At 43.4% G+C, this 16389-nt stretch overlaps 1 protein-coding gene across 11 annotated transcripts in view; it reads left to right on the top strand.

The window, feature by feature from the left end:
- Positions 1–9276, top strand: part of APP (amyloid beta precursor protein) — a 290579-nt gene extending 281303 nt beyond the window's left edge. For all 11 annotated transcript variants that reach the window (NM_001136131.3, NM_001136129.3, NM_001136130.3 and 8 more), the window contains one exon: positions 8055–9276. In NM_001136131.3, the coding sequence (NP_001129603.1) occupies positions 8055–8156 (102 nt within the window). In that variant the 3' untranslated portion in view covers positions 8157–9276. The remainder of the gene's footprint in view (positions 1–8054) is intronic.

Here is a 16389-nt window from a genome sequence, read left to right as displayed (position 1 = left end):
ACCCAGGCTGGAGTGCAGTGGCATGATCTCCGCTCACTGCAACCTCCACCTCCCAGGTTCAAGCGATTCTCCTACCTCACTCTCAGCCTCCTGAGTAACTGGGATTACAGGGGCATACCACCACGCCTGGCTAATTTTTGTATTTTTAGTAGAGACAGGGTTTTGCCATGTTGGCCAGGCTGGTCTTGAATTCCTGGCCTCAAGTGATCCGCCCTCCCCAACCTCCCAAGGTGCTGGGATTACAGGCATGAGCCACCATGCCTGGCCTTCAAGAGCACTTTTTAGTTTATTTAATATAATTCTCTTTGTTGCCGGTCTGTCCGTTGAAGTTGCCTTCTTTGATGCCAGAGGCCAAAGACTTGGCTTCCTCGGGCTTCCATAACAAAGTAACACAGATGGGTGGATTAAGCAACAGAAATTTACCCTCTCACATTTCTGGAGTGTAAGATCAAGGTATCAGCCAGGTTGGTTCCTCCCCAGGCATCTCTCCTTGGTTTGCAGATGCCTGTCTGCTCCCTGTATCTTCACATGACCTTCACTCTGTTTTTCTGCTGTGTCCTAACCTCTTCCTACAAGGACACCAGTCATAGTGGATTAGGATCAACCCTGATGACCTTGTTTAACTTTAATAACCTCTTCGACCCTATCTGCAAATACAGTCACAGGTGGAGGTACTGGCAGCTTAGGACTTCAACATATGAATTCTAGGGGGACACGTTTTAGCCCGTAACAGACCCCAGTGATGCTGAGCATAAAAGCAAGGCCTCCACCTGGAGCTCCTTCCCCTGGCTGTGCGTGAGACCAGGTCCTACCTCAGACCTAAGGAAAAAGAATCCCCAAATAGGAGGCTGCGAATCTGAGTGTTGAAAATTTCCCCAAATGAATGAGATGTGCAGTCGGATTTGAGAATCCCTGACACATCATTTTAACACTCCTTCCTTTTAGTTCTCCGCGCAAGCCTCAGGGAGTGGAAAATGGTATCTCTCACCTCCCAGATAACCGGTTGCCTTTTAAGTGCTCTTCCAGCTGCCTGAATTAAAACGCTCTTTTTTTAGTCAGTTTACCAAGCAGTGTCTCATTGGACTTAAAATGTCAGAGGAGAAGTTGACACTTTGACCCAGATTCTGACATTAATTTTTAAGCCAGGAGGTATCCTTGCAGGAGCAAAATCGGGAAGGATGGCTGTTCAGCTCTTCTCTCCTCATTTTGCTGTCTACTGGAGAGCAACTGGAAGCCTTTCTAGATGAGGGGCTCCACCTCATTCGTGTTTGTTTTGTTTATTTCCTCTCAGCTCCTTCCCCTCAAGACCTTTGTGACTGTCCTTCCTGAAAGCAGCCCTCTGTGCAGCCCCATAGTGTGTCTGTACAGCAATGTTGAAATAGACCACATTCCGCTTTTCTGTCCTCAAAAAAGATGTAGTTTAGCTGGGATGGTAGAACCTGAACACAGGGAGTTGCAACCCAGCCTAGGCATGTTCCCAGGTGAGAGAGCACGGTGGGCTTTCAGAGCACCATTTTTCTTAGCATTCCAGCGTCTGCACCCACAGAAGTGATGCTTCTGCAACATCCTCTTCCTACCTTAACAGGCACTCTCACCCTCAAGTACATGGAAATACCTTTATTTCCGGCTCTGGCTAACCTTCATTAATCAGTAACCCTACTTCAGTAAGAACAAAAATGAGTACATCAATATTTCCAGTTGGACTCACCTCAGTCACTCAGGACAGAATACCATTGTACTTACATACCATCGTGCCTGAAGAAGTCATGATGAAAGCTTTGGTTTCCAGGAGATTTTTTGTTTTTAGAGTGAAAAATGCCCGCAGAAGATCACAGAGATAGGAACCCTAGGAAAAAAACTCCTGAGAACAAATGTATAAATGAAACAAGCCTAGAACAGTCACATACCACTTCACACTGGAGAGAACGTTCTGAGAAATGTGGCATGGGGCGGTTTGATCGCTGTGCAAACATCATAAAGTACATGTACATAAATCTAGATGGTATAGCCTGCTACACACCTGGGCTACACACCTACAACTATTGCTCCTAGGCTCCACACCTGTGCAGCATATTGCTGCACTGAATACTATAGACAGTTGTAACACACTGGCAGGGATTTGCGTATCTAAACAAACTAGAAAAGGTACAGTAAAAAATACGGTATTATGGGGCCACCATCATATGTTTGGTCTGTCGTGGACTAAAATGTCATTATGTGGCCCATAACTGTATTTTTATTGGTAGAGTTGTTAGCATTTGGAAATGAGCACTTGCTAGTTGTTGTTTTTTTTTTTTTTTTTTTTTTTCAAATAAGCAGGAAATATTGACTTACTGAATTTACTTAGCCATAAGGCCAGAGAGTCACTCTGTGAGCCATTGGCCACGCTTTCCCAAGGAGGTAACTGTGCCTTATTGGTGCTTCAAGCAGTGAAGCAATAGCCCTTTATTATTACCACTCCCCAAATGTGCCCTCCATGTCAGAATAGCCCTCTGGTGGCTGGAAATCTCAGCACTAGCTGAATTAACCACCTTGCTCCTGTTTTAGGACGTTCCTGCAAAGCCCACTAATCCCAGGATCTGTTTAGTAGCAAGCGGTACTTTTCTACATTCACATACATAGACACTGGATATTTAAAAATACGTATTGTAGCTCTTTCTGCTACTCTCCCCAGACATGTCACCTTTAATAAGGAGAAGTTGGGGGCACAGCTTCTCTTTATTATAGGATGTGAAAAAGTTTTCCTCTCACAGATCTGATCACTTGAACACCAGAAGTCTCCCCGCCCCCACCTCCTGGTTATCTCATTAATGATCTAAATAAGAAGAGAGTTCCTTTTATTTGGCTTTTATGGAGGTATGGCATATGACTTTTTCTAAGTAATATGCTGTCACACTGGTGACTGTATAAAAAGATGTCCTTAGAGGTCCTTTCTTCCCGGCCAGAAGCTGACCCACCAGGATACAGACGCACTGACGTTGGCATTGTAGAGTAGTTGGAGAGAGTGGTCAGGTTGAATGGAAAGCCACGATAAGGAAAAGTGAGGGGGGGTGCAGAACCTAGGAGTGGCTTACAGTGAGCAGCAGGAAGAGAAATTGGAAGATCAAAGGAAAGCATCAAAAATGATCACAGGCCAGGCGTGGTGGCTCACACCTGTAATCCCAGCATTTGGGGAGGCCAAGGCAGGTGGATCACTTGAGGCTAGGAGTTCGAGTCCAGCCTGGCCAACATGGTGAGACCCTGTCTCTAATAAAAATACAAAAAATTAGCCAGGCGTGGTGGCATGCGCCTGTAGTCGCAGCTACTCAGGAGGCTGAGGCAGGAGAATCGCTTGAACCCAGGAGATGGAGGCTGCAGTGAGCCAAAATCACGCCACTGCACTCCAGCCTGGGTGACAGAGCAAGACTGTCTTAAAAAAAAAAAAAATTATGAAGGGATAGCAAAGGAGTTCCTGAACCTGCCTGAAGAATTGCTTGATGTTGGCCATAAACATAGTCAACTGCCTTCTAGTTATATATAACTATAGAGAGATGGCATCAAAATTAGGAAAACAAGCATCTATACAACTAGGTAGCAGGCAGTTACTGGGAGGTTACGAGGGATAAGTCACTAGCTTGAAAACTTCCTATTTTCTTTGCTTTTATTTTTTTTTTCCGCAGACTTGTGGCTCCTTTGATGTGTCACACTATTGTTGTATTGTTCGCCTTAGTTCCCTTACCCTCCTTTACTCGTCTGGTCCATCTCAATGACAGGATTCTGTCGTTTGGCCTGACTCAGTCCCTTGTATAAAAGGACATCTATTAATCCACATCCTGCTGGTTACTGTACATAATAAAATGTAAACGTGGTGTTTCCTGCCTCTCCTCCAAGCTCACACACCCGCATGTAAATACTCTAGGGGCAATAGGAGGAGACCTAGAAACTAAGGTCACCCAAATAGAATCTTGTCCCTGCAGGCGGATAGCTGAGCTCTAAATTACTCTGGATACAGTGAAGGACTAAATGGTTCCAATGAATCAAGTTCAGGGAGAAAAGGGTCAGGGGGTATGGAGGTTAGCCAAAGAGTGTCAAACGTTCTCCTCAAAGCTATTTTAGAACAAGGCTGGTCAGGCTATTTGGGCTCAGCTCTTTTCAGCGTGTGTCATAGGCAGCAGCCAGTTGAAGCCATGCCACCATGCAGTGCAGGGGTCCAGGTCTCAGGAAGGTGCAGCGTACCGAGAGTCACATGAAGACCTCAGATCATTTCCTGCTGCTGTGTAATCCAGGCAGTCTGGGAAGAGAATGAATATTCAGTGGTTGTATGTATGTGTGTCTTCATCCCAGCAAGTGACAGATGTTCCTGCCCAGTTGGAAAATGGAAATTCTGACTTCATTGTCTTATCATTCCTTCCAGAACAAGCACCATGGGCTCAAACCCTCCCTGGCTCTGCTTTAAGGGAAATAATATTGTGTCTGTGCAGAGGCCCTGTCTGCACAGGGTCGTGGTAGGGCTGGCCTTCACATGGTGGCCCATGCCACTGCTGTAGCTTAGCCATGAGGAAGAGATTGGTGAGCCTGCTGGAGAGGAAGGCTACCCTTACTTGGTGCTCCTCCTTTATCCATAGACATGAGTACTCAGATTTTCGCATCTAGCTTTCAAGGGGCTGGAGATTAAAGATCCAATCCATACTCCTTGGATGCCCTTTTGTCAAGATAATCCCTTCTTCTGTAGCTCCTAAGCCCTCTAAGGTCTGAGGGCCAAGCTGCCCCATGGCAGGAATGGCAAAATGTAGCTGTCCTCTCAGTGGCAAAAGGTAATAGGATTATCAAGTAGCAAAACAGAAGCCAAGAAAAGACAGGAGAGTTAGAGGTCTGGATTGTGCACCAGCCTTGGAGCCTCGCATCTCTAGCAGGGCACTCTTAAGCGTTAGGCTTTGGAGTTTGAAGAGGAGATAAACCTATCAAATTGCCAGGTGTTCCCCTGCCCTTGATGCATGCAAATGATTGTTGACAGCCAGTGTGATGGTAGATGTGCCTCCTGGAAGAAATAAAAGTATAATATTCCAACAATCAAGCAGCATTGTGGCTTTTTTCTACAATCAGAAACATAGCAGCTTTGTGCTTGATCTCCTAAGCAAGATAATTTTTTTTAACCTGGGCATTCTTTGAGTTCTCAGTTTCGAGGTGATGGGGAGCAAAAATGATGCCCAAGTTCAAATGGCGTACTGCTGCAGATAGGCTGTCTCCTGGCACACAGATTTACAGAGTGAATGAAATCTCTCATTATTGGTGCTAATCTTTAACCATGGTTTTTAACTTACAAGTTGGAGGCTAATTACACAGTTACCAGTTAAAGCCAGGTGACCTCATTTGTTGACAACAGTGCACAGCAAAGGAAAGAGGAGAGGATAAGGAAAATATCTGTGATTTGCTCCCAGAAGGACAGTGAAGCTGAGCATCCATTTGAGCAGAGTCCTCTGAGTACTGGCCTTGGTCAGAGCTTGTTGGTGGGAGTGTGCTAAGGGGAGATGCCTAGGTCTGTCATTGGAGTAAGCTGAGGGTTTGGATGCAGGGGAACTCAGGCAGCTCTGAGCCACAGGGTGGTAGATGGGAGGGATTCACAGTGGCGCACAGTCTCTTCCATAAATGGAAACGTAAGAATCGGGGCACATGGCCATGGCGGCTCATGCCTGTAGTCCTAGTGCTACTTTAGGAGGCCGAGGTAGGCGGATCACCTGAGGTCAGTTTGAGACCAGCATGGCCAACATGGTGAAACCCCATCTCTACTAAAAATACAAAAATTAGCCAGGCGTAGTGGCGGGTGCCTGTAATCCCAGCTACTCGGGAGGCTGAGGCAGGAGAATCACTTGAACCTGGGAGGCAGAGGTTGCAGTGAGCCGAGATTGCCTGGGCAACAAGAGCAAGACTCCAACTCAAAAAAAATGGGCACATAATGGATGGAACATTCTGTCCCAAGGGATGAGGGAGCTGTATATCTACCTATTCCAGCTGCCTTGGGATTAGCCACTGGTAGTCATTCCACCTCACTCCCAGACTGAAAAGAGTCAATCACTTCATGAAGTGGGGCTATCCGAAGGGACCACAGGGGACCTGATTATACTGACAGATTTATTTTTATTTATTTACTTTTTTTGAGACAGAGTCTCCCTCTGTTGCCCAGGCCGGAGTGCAGTGGCACGATCTTGGCTCACTGCAGCCTCAGCCTCCTGGGTTCAAGCAGTTCTTCTGCCTCAGCCTCTGGAGTAGCTGGGACTACAGGCACGTGCTACTGTGCCTGGCTAAATTTTTTTGTATTTTTGTTAAAGATGGGGTTTCACTATGTTGGCCAGGCGTGTCTCAAACTCCCGACCTCGTGATCCACCCGCCTTGGCCTCCCAAAAGGGCTGGGATTTTGAGCCACCTCACCTGGCCTTTTTTTTCTTGGAGATGGAGTCTCACTCTGTCTCCCAGGCTGGAGTGCAGTGGCACAATCTTGGCTCACTGCAAACTCCACCCCCCAAGTTCAAGCCATTCTCCTGCCTCCGCCTGTGGAGCAGCTGGGATTACAGGCGTGCACCACCACGCCTGGCTAATTTTTGTATTTTTAGTAGAGACAAGGTTTCACCATGTTGGCCAGGCTGGTCTCAAACTCCTGACCTCAAGTGACGCACCCACCTCAGGCTCCCAAAGTGCTGGGATTACAGGAGTGAGCCACTGCACCCGGCCATATTGACAGATCTTTTAGTCTGAATTGTTATCAGCCAGTGTGGTCTAGTCATGACATATCTAGCTCCATCTCGAGACCTCATGTCTTACTGCTGACACTACATCCTCGCTGGTACTTTTTCTTCCTTGGCTTCAGGGGCATTGCTGTGTAGGCTCAGATCCATGCCAGATGGGGTGTGTAGGGGGAAAAGCTGCATAAGGGAGGAATGTCACTTGGCAACACTCAACAAGGGGGAATGGGCCTGCAGTATTCTCCCAGAGATGAATGAGCAGCCCATTCTAGGAAATATCCCTTTGAAGGAATATCTTCTCTATGGTACATCCAAACTTTTCTCTGGAAAACATGCCTCTTCATTCTGATGACTTTCTATTTATTCTCTTCATCTTACCATGGTTTTACAAAAGAGGAATTTTAACATACTCATTCAGCAGAGTTAAGGACCTCCTCTCTTCTGCGAACGGGGAGAGGTATAACAAATATAGTAAAACAAGAACAGCCACTGCCCACGTTGTAGGGGTAAGTACCCTGCCCAACCTGCAGACAGTAAATGCCACACACAGCTCTAACAGTGACAGGGGGAGAAAAACGTCTTCAGTTACTGGCCTGACCTTAGAGGTAAAGCAACATATTAACAGAGAGGGTCTGATTTTAAACTTTGAGCTGAACATACTTCTATAGTATCTTAATTCTCAGTTTTTAAAAAATTACATCATCTAGAATGGCGTCGTCCTTGCTCTTCCTTTTTTCTTGTGCCAAATAATAGCCCCCTTTGGTATATGTTATTGTTTTAATTGATTCTCAAACCTCTCCTTAACATTTTAACAAACATAAAATTTGATAGAAATGGGCTAGACTAAATTCAGCAGTCCAGGAAATCGAGTATTTTTCTACACAGATTTGAGTGTCACCCAAGATACAGTATACTTTGCTGAATCTCCCTCCATGATACTCTTGTGGTTTTATCTATTTTACCAAAACACTTCCACGTAAAACAGGCTTCCGTTGACTCTGTTTGTCCTTTATGGACCCAACAGGGGAGGAAAAAATACCATTGCACTGGGTTTATCCACTTACTGTGGAGTTGGGGAACCAGAAACAACCACTGGACACGTTGCAAGCGCGTCAAGGTTTCCACCGCCACCTGGTGGCTAGATGGAGCACAGCATCTGTGTAACTGGTGGGCAAAGGCGTTCTGCTCCAAGATGTCAAAGTGGGGGAGAAAATTATGGGTGTTCTGCAATCTTGGCAAAAGAAGAGTACTGTACTCCTTATCTTTTTACTGCTTCTCCATGTTCACCCTTAAAAGATTGATTTTTATTTTTTACTCAGCTCTCCTCTTGTTTTTCAGGTTGACGCCGCTGTCACCCCAGAGGAGCGCCACCTGTCCAAGATGCAGCAGAACGGCTACGAAAATCCAACCTACAAGTTCTTTGAGCAGATGCAGAACTAGACCCCCGCCACAGCAGCCTCTGAAGTTGGACAGCAAAACCATTGCTTCACTACCCATCGGTGTCCATTTATAGAATAATGTGGGAAGAAACAAACCCGTTTTATGATTTACTCATTATCGCCTTTTGACAGCTGTGCTGTAACACAAGTAGATGCCTGAACTTGAATTAATCCACACATCAGTAATGTATTCTATCTCTCTTTACATTTTGGTCTCTATACTACATTATTAATGGGTTTTGTGTACTGTAAAGAATTTAGCTGTATCAAACTAGTGCATGAATAGATTCTCTCCTGATTATTTATCACATAGCCCCTTAGCCAGTTGTATATTATTCTTGTGGTTTGTGACCCAATTAAGTCCTACTTTACATATGCTTTAAGAATCGATGGGGGATGCTTCATGTGAACGTGGGAGTTCAGCTGCTTCTCTTGCCTAAGTATTCCTTTCCTGATCACTATGCATTTTAAAGTTAAACATTTTTAAGTATTTCAGATGCTTTAGAGAGATTTTTTTTCCATGACTGCATTTTACTGTACAGATTGCTGCTTCTGCTATATTTGTGATATAGGAATTAAGAGGATACACACGTTTGTTTCTTCGTGCCTGTTTTATGTGCACACATTAGGCATTGAGACTTCAAGCTTTTCTTTTTTTGTCCACGTATCTTTGGGTCTTTGATAAAGAAAAGAATCCCTGTTCATTGTAAGCACTTTTACGGGGCGGGTGGGGAGGGGTGCTCTGCTGGTCTTCAATTACCAAGAATTCTCCAAAACAATTTTCTGCAGGATGATTGTACAGAATCATTGCTTATGACATGATCGCTTTCTACACTGTATTACATAAATAAATTAAATAAAATAACCCCGGGCAAGACTTTTCTTTGAAGGATGACTACAGACATTAAATAATCGAAGTAATTTTGGGTGGGGAGAAGAGGCAGATTCAATTTTCTTTAACCAGTCTGAAGTTTCATTTATGATACAAAAGAAGATGAAAATGGAAGTGGCAATATAAGGGGATGAGGAAGGCATGCCTGGACAAACCCTTCTTTTAAGATGTGTCTTCAATTTGTATAAAATGGTGTTTTCATGTAAATAAATACATTCTTGGAGGAGCACCATTGTGCTGGTGTGAATGATTCCATAGTAACAATCTTGACCATTTACTGACGTACAGACCAGTGAGAAGTCTTCGCATGTTGGGTACCCACACCTGTTGTGTCTTAATTGCAAGTCTGAGTAGGAAGTTGGGGCCAACATGTGTCTCCCAGTGCTGGGAAAATATTTCATAGACCTAATTTACAGTCTTTACTTGATCTAAAACATTTTGCTGCCATATTTTGGCCCTCAAGTTTGTCCCAAATGAGAGACAAAGGGAAAAGTTCCAGGGAAATAAAAATTAAGACAGCTGATTATCTGTAAAGCATGGTTTCTCATCCTGAACGCTACTAACATTTTGCAGGGAATAATTCCTTGTTGAAGGGAGTTGTCCTGACCAGTGTAGGATATTTATTTATTTTATTTATGTTTTTTGAGAGTCTCGCTCTGTCACCCAGGCTGGAGTGCAGTGGCACAATCTCGGCTCACTGCACTCCAGCCTGGGAGACAGACGAGACTCCGTCTCAATAAATAAATAAATAAATAAATAAATAAATAAAAGGAGGGCCTGGCACGAATGACATGCAGGGAAGGCAGTGAGCAGGTGGAGGTCCCTGTACTCGTTGTGGTGCCTTATCTACCAGGCGGTTGAGTTGACGTCTTTGTGGACAGAATTCGATTACAAAGGTGTCCGAAAGTCTCCAGGTGGGGGAGAGTTTTGTAGCGGGCATAATTTGGGTTGTAAATTGACTGTTGTCTCCTGAGCAGTCTCCTGGTGAGGGAGAGTTTCACTGGAGCTTTGAAACACATGTTAGACAGCCTTGCCCTGTAGGGAGTGTCTCGTGAAGGAGAGGTAAACAATTATAATTGCATTTCTAAAGGGCTAAGTAGGACATGGGAAACTGGAAAATGGAGAAAAGAAGAGAAAAAAATAGTAACTCATTCTCTTTTTCTTAGAAAAATGAGGATACTTGGTCACATCCTCACATGGTGAAGAATAAGATGGTCTCTTCATTTCCCTTCAACACTAGTCCCATCGTGAGGCTCTGCCCTCATGACCTAATCTAATCCTAACTGCCTCCCAAAGGTCCCACCTCCACATCCCATTATTGGGGATTAGGGTTTCAACATAGGGATTTGGGGGAAACACAAACACTCAGTTCATAGTGATATCTGACTGCGATTCCAAAGGTCTGAGGACACATTGGCCCTGTTGTTTTTGCTGTGTTGTCCTTGGCCTCAGGTGAACATTTTAGCTTTAGATTGCAACATTTTAAGCTAAAAACACTAAGCTAGAAAATTAAACTTATCTCGTCACATTCTGCATGGTGAACAAACTCAAAACTCACCTGAGTGTATCTTGTTTTCATGAGAAAAAATGACCGGTCATCTCCCTTGCCCTGTTAGGGACAGTTAGACATGACTGCTGTATGAAGATATGTACATGTTAACAATTCATATGTACAAGCTACTGTTCCATTTTGCCTGGCCCAAGGGGAGGTAGCTAGCTAGTTGGGGTAGCAGGGCGAATTAACCCTAATATAATAGTACATTTCTAATGCCACCAATGAAATGAAAACCAGCTCTCAAACATGGCACTATATGGGATGGCATTCCAAGGCCAACTCAGTTACAGTAACTACAGCTTTAACTTTGATCATTTTGTTACCAGAAAGGGGTCCCAATCCAGACCCCAAGACAGGGTTCTTGGATCTCATGCAAGAAAGAATTCAAGGCGGGTCCATAGAGGAAAAGGAAATGAAGTTTTAAAGAAAGTAGGAAAATAAAGAGTGGTTGCTCCATAGGCAGAGTGAACCTAAGGGCTGCTGGTTGCCCATTTTATTGTTATTTCTTAATTATTTACTAAACAAGGGCTGAATTATTCATGCCTCCCCTTGGTAGACCATATAGGGTAACTTCCTGATGTTGCCATGGCATTTGTAAACCGTCATGGCTCTAGTGGGAGTGTAGCAGTGAGGACAACCAGAGGTCACTCTCATTGCTATCTTGGTTTTGGTGGGTTTTGACCGGCTTCTTTACTGCAACTTGTTTTATGAGCAAGGTCTTTATGACCTGTATCTTATGCAGACCTACAATCTCATCCTGTGACTTAGAATGACTTAACCCTCTGGGAATGCAGCCCAGTAGGTCCCAGCCTTATTTTACCCAGCCCCTATTCAAAATGGAGTTGCTCTGGTTCAGACGCCTCTGACAATTTTAAAGCTAATGAAAAAAATGTCTAGCCAAATGTATATATACATACATATATAATTATGAAAAGATAATGCCTTATAATCTTGATTCTTAAATTGAGGTATATTGATAGTATTCTCCCAATGGTCTGGGGATTAATCAATAGGTAATTTATACAAAACTGAAGTGCTGCCAAATAGAATTATAGGAGTAGCTGCTGCGCAAAAAAGATTAATGAGATTTGGGGAGACTTTGCTGTGGCTAATATGATGGGTCAGGAAGAGTACAATCTCAGTACAATTTTAAGTTGTATTTATCTTATGAATAATTGGGCTATTCTTTCATATGCCCAAGGGCCATTTTATAGCTCTATATTTCTTTTGTGTTCTGTTTGGGGCTTGAAGTCTCTACTTCTGTATCGGGATTGCAATGCCTGCTGTCTTACTGTTTCCATTTGTCTGGTAAATTTTCGTTCATTCCTTTATTTTTAGCTATTTCAATTGCTGCATTTTCGGTGTGTATCTTGTGTGCAGCACACAGTTGAGTTTTTGCTATACGAGCCAATCCGAAAATAATCTTTTTTAATAGGCAAATTAAGCCGATCTAGTTTTGATATAACTACCATGTTTGATGTCAATTCTGTCATATTTTAGATTGTAATTGCTGAATGTATTATATTTACTGTGTCTATCCTCTTGCGTTTTCTTTTGGCTTATGAATTTTGTGTCTTTTATTTATTTATTTATTTATTTATTTATTTATTTATTTAGAGACGGGGTCTCACTCTGTCGCCCAGGCTGCAGTGCACTGGTGTGATCTCGGCTCACTGCAACCTCCACCTCCCGGATTCAAGCGATTCTCCCGAGTAGCTGGGACTACAGGCACGTGCCACCACACCCAACTACTTTTTTATTTTTAGTAGAGACGGGGTTTCACCATGTTGGCCAGGCTGGTCTCAAACTCCTGACCTCAGGTGATCCACCTGCCTCAGCCTCCCAAAGTGCTGGAATTACAGGTGTGAGCCACCGCGCTGGGTCTTGTATCTTTATTCTAATGGGTTGCTTTTATACTAATCTTCTGTAGTGCTCTTACTCCCTTTTTTTTTTTTTTTTTTTTTTTTTTAAGACGGAAGTCTGGCTCTGTCGCCCAGGCTGGAGTGCAGTGGCGCAATCTCGGCTCACTGTAAGCTCTGCCTCCCGGGTTCACACCATTCTCGTGCCTCAGCCTCCCAAGTAACTGGGACTACAGGCACCCACCACCACGCCCAGCTAATTTTTTTGTATTTTTAGTAGAGACGGGGTTTCACCATGTTAGCCAGGATGGTCTCGATCTCCCGACCTCATGATCCACCTGCCGTGGCCTCCCAAAGTGCTGGGATTACAGGCATGAGCCACTGCGCCCGGCCCCTTTTTTCTTTCTTAACCTGTTACTATCTGTCTTTTCTAGATGATACTGATTCCCACCTATTACCTATATGTCAGTCAATGGTGTTACTCTACTTTTCCCCTTTTCTCTCCCTTCTCCCACCTTTTTAGTTGTATTTGTTCTACTTTATCAGTATATAATGTTTACATATCCATGTTTTTCATTAACCCATGAACGAACTCTTACATTATTCTCAGCTCTACAGTCAAATATGTGAAATGATCTCTGTTGGTCCTTTTGTTCCCAGAAATATTCTGGTTGGGTGAAACTCACCCTCCAGTAAATTGCTCAGCAAGAGCACGTGTACTGTATTCCTGGAATTCTGGTGAGTTTGAAACTGATTTTCTGTGACCTTGAAACTTGAAGAGCAGCTTGTTTTTCCTTAGGTTTCTTGAAAATGGTGTTCCAGTGTTTTCTTGGTTTGCATGTTATTTTTGAGAAATCTGAGGCCAATCTTTAATTCTCTTTGTAAATATTTTTTGGGCCTGGAAGCCTTGAGGATTTTTTTTTTATAAGTCTAATAATTTTCCGAGCTATCTCAGAATTATTTGTGGTCAGTTTTCCTATATACCACACTGGGCCCTTTCAGTGTAGAGTTGACTCAGTTCTTTTATTTCTGGAACTTTTTCTTGGATTAGAGTTTTAAATATTCTGTTATATTGTTTTTCTTTTCTTCAGGAACACCAATAATACAAATATGCAACCTCCTTTGTCTGGCTTCCATTTCAACTATCTTCTCTGGTCCTTTTTATTTTATCTCCTTTTCATTCTCTTGGCTATCCTTCTTTTATTCAATACCCTTTATTAAGTTTTTATTTGAACCCATTCTCTTCGGGGCACCTTGTAATCTGTTCTTTATTACTGATAAAGTTTTGTGATTTTCTTCTATTTTTTTTCCTGAATTTAATCAGCTCTGGCTTCATTTTCTCCTATTTTTTGTTGATTTCTCTACCTAGTTTTTATATTTCCGATTCAACATATTGATATTTTCCATGTTCCCAGATGCAGGTTGGAGAATATTTCATAAATATTGAGTGTTGTCTTAGAATTTTCATCAAGTTCATGGTTATATCGAGGAGACATCACCAGCAGAAAAACTTTGATTTGCAACTTCTGACTTTGGCAGTTGTTCTCTATAGAAGTTGGTCCACTCCTTCCTCTTCCTGTTCATTCTGTGGGCAGGAGACCTAGTTAGGAGCAGCTTCTTCCCTCAGTTCAACAATGTTCTGTGCAGTTGCTTCTGTGGCTGATGTTGACAGGAAAGATAGAAGAGTTGTTGTGTCTCCTATTTTCTGCAGGATGCTTAATTTTGTTCTGTCTCCTCTTCTGCTGTGCCTGTCTCCCAGAAGCACCACTCCTCTCCCTGTGTCTGATTCTCCCCAACAAGCATGGATTCTCCATGTCTGGTCTGCACACTGTCAGGCCCCACTCCGGAGCCTGGGCTCTGAACTGCCAAGTGCCCATCATTGCTCGTTTTTTTTGGTTTTTTTTTTTTTTTTTTTTTTTTGAGACCGAGTTTCACTCTTGTTGCCGAGGCTGGAGTGCAATGGTGCAATCTTGGCTCACTGAAACCTCTACCTCCTGGGTTCAAGCAATTCTCCTGCCTCAGCCTCCTGAGTAGCTGGGATTACAGACGCACGCCACCATACCCGGCTAATGTTTGTAGCTTTAGTAGAGACGAGGTTTCACCATGTTGGCCAGGAGGTCTCGAACTCCTGACCTCAGATGATCCACCCACCTCGGCCTCCCAAAGTGCTGGAATTACAGGCGTGAGCCACCATGCCCGGCCTTGTTCATTCTCTTTGTAAATATTGTTTCACTTTATCTTTTGGGAGTGGCTTTGTCTGTTTTTTCTCTAAGTTCTCTGCTTCCCTCCACCCTTTTCCCCAATCTCTTGAGACTCCTCTCCCCTGATTTCTGCACCCATAGGTTTGTGGTGGCTGCTTGCTGCAGGCCCACAGTGGGCACTCTGTTGGATTTTTTTTTCTTCTATGCACAGATAATTGGAAAATTGCAGCTTCTCTTATCTCTTAGTCATGCTGAAAGAGGGACATTTACCACCATTATGAGGAAATCTGCACACTGGTATATTTTTAAAGTGCCCCAGATGATTCTAATACACAGCTGTGGTGGAGAACATCTTGTTATATCATCATAATGTGCTTTTAGTACATTTTACATATATTTTCCCAAAAGTCCCTTGGCTTCCCAGCCATGACTGTCTCATTTTTCTCCTACCTGAGTCCTGTAGGTAAGAGAAGCACTGTCCTTCACATCTCTGTTTCTCAAAGAATTCACCTACATCAGAATCACCTATGAGCCTGGCCAAACATTGCAGTTTTCCAGATCCCATTCTGGGCCTACTGAGATCATCTCTGGAGACCCAGGACTCTGCATTTTCAACAAGCACACACACACACCCATGATTAAGCTGTGAAGGATCATAAAAATCACTGCTTTGGATGCTGGTGGACCCTGAGTTTCTGCTCTTGCTTCTCTTCTCTACACTGTCTAACATCAGCCACATGAAAAGTATTTATTATAATTCATATATGCAAAGCAATAACTTAAACCTAAATCTTTTCCTGAGTTAAGAGACCCAGATTCCTGTCTTTGCTTTAAAATATGCACTATGATTATAAATGCAATGCATGTTTTAGAAAATACAGGATGTAGGCAAGGTACAGTGGCTCACACCTGTAATCCCAGCACTGTGAGAGGCCGAGGCGGGTGAATCTCTTGAGGTCAAGAGTTCGAGACCAACCTGGGCAAAATGGTGAAACCCTGTCTCTACTAAAAATACAAAAATTTAGCCGGACGTGGTGGTACGCACCTGTGATTCCTAGCTACTCGGTAGGCTGAGGCAGGAGAATCACTTGAACCCGGGAGGTCGAGGCTGCAGTGAGACGAAATTGTGCCACTGCACTCCAGCCTAGGTGACAGAGCCAGACCTGTCTCAAAAAAAAAAAAAAAAAGAAGAGACTAATTTTGGCCTAACCATACACACCATTTTCTGATTTAGGCTAGTCAATCAGGAATGACTGTCTTGTAGAGGATCCTTGAATGGCCCTGTGTCTATTAATACGCTTCTGTTCCCTGTCCCCTACATACAAACATGTTAAGGCTCTACACTGGTATGACTTTGGGCATATACGAAAAATTGGAGTGGAAATTATTTATATAATTTTCTTGCTTTCATCATGCAGTCACTTTGTTGAATACATTTGCAGATCAAATCAGAATATGAAGATCCTTTATGGCTATTAAACCGAGAAAATCTATCCTCTGCTAACTAACCAGCTCTGAGGCAACTAGCAGAGGCAGCATCTCATTTCTAACATTGCTCTATTTCAAAATGTTTTAGAATAATTTCCAAAGTAAATGACTTTTATTGTCCATAAGATTTCTTGGACAACCTGTTTTACACATTCAGAGCATACAATTTTTAACTACCCTGGCCGGGTGCGGTGGCTCATGCCTGTAACCCCAGCACTTTAGGAGGCCAAGGCGAGTGG

The sequence above is a fragment of the Homo sapiens genome, chromosome 21 (assembly GCF_000001405.40).
Source record: "Homo sapiens chromosome 21, GRCh38.p14 Primary Assembly".
Taxonomy (NCBI): Eukaryota; Metazoa; Chordata; class Mammalia; order Primates; family Hominidae; genus Homo; species Homo sapiens.
The sequence above is the reverse complement of the archived record's forward strand: the minus strand, read 5'-3'. Positions and strand labels throughout refer to the sequence as shown.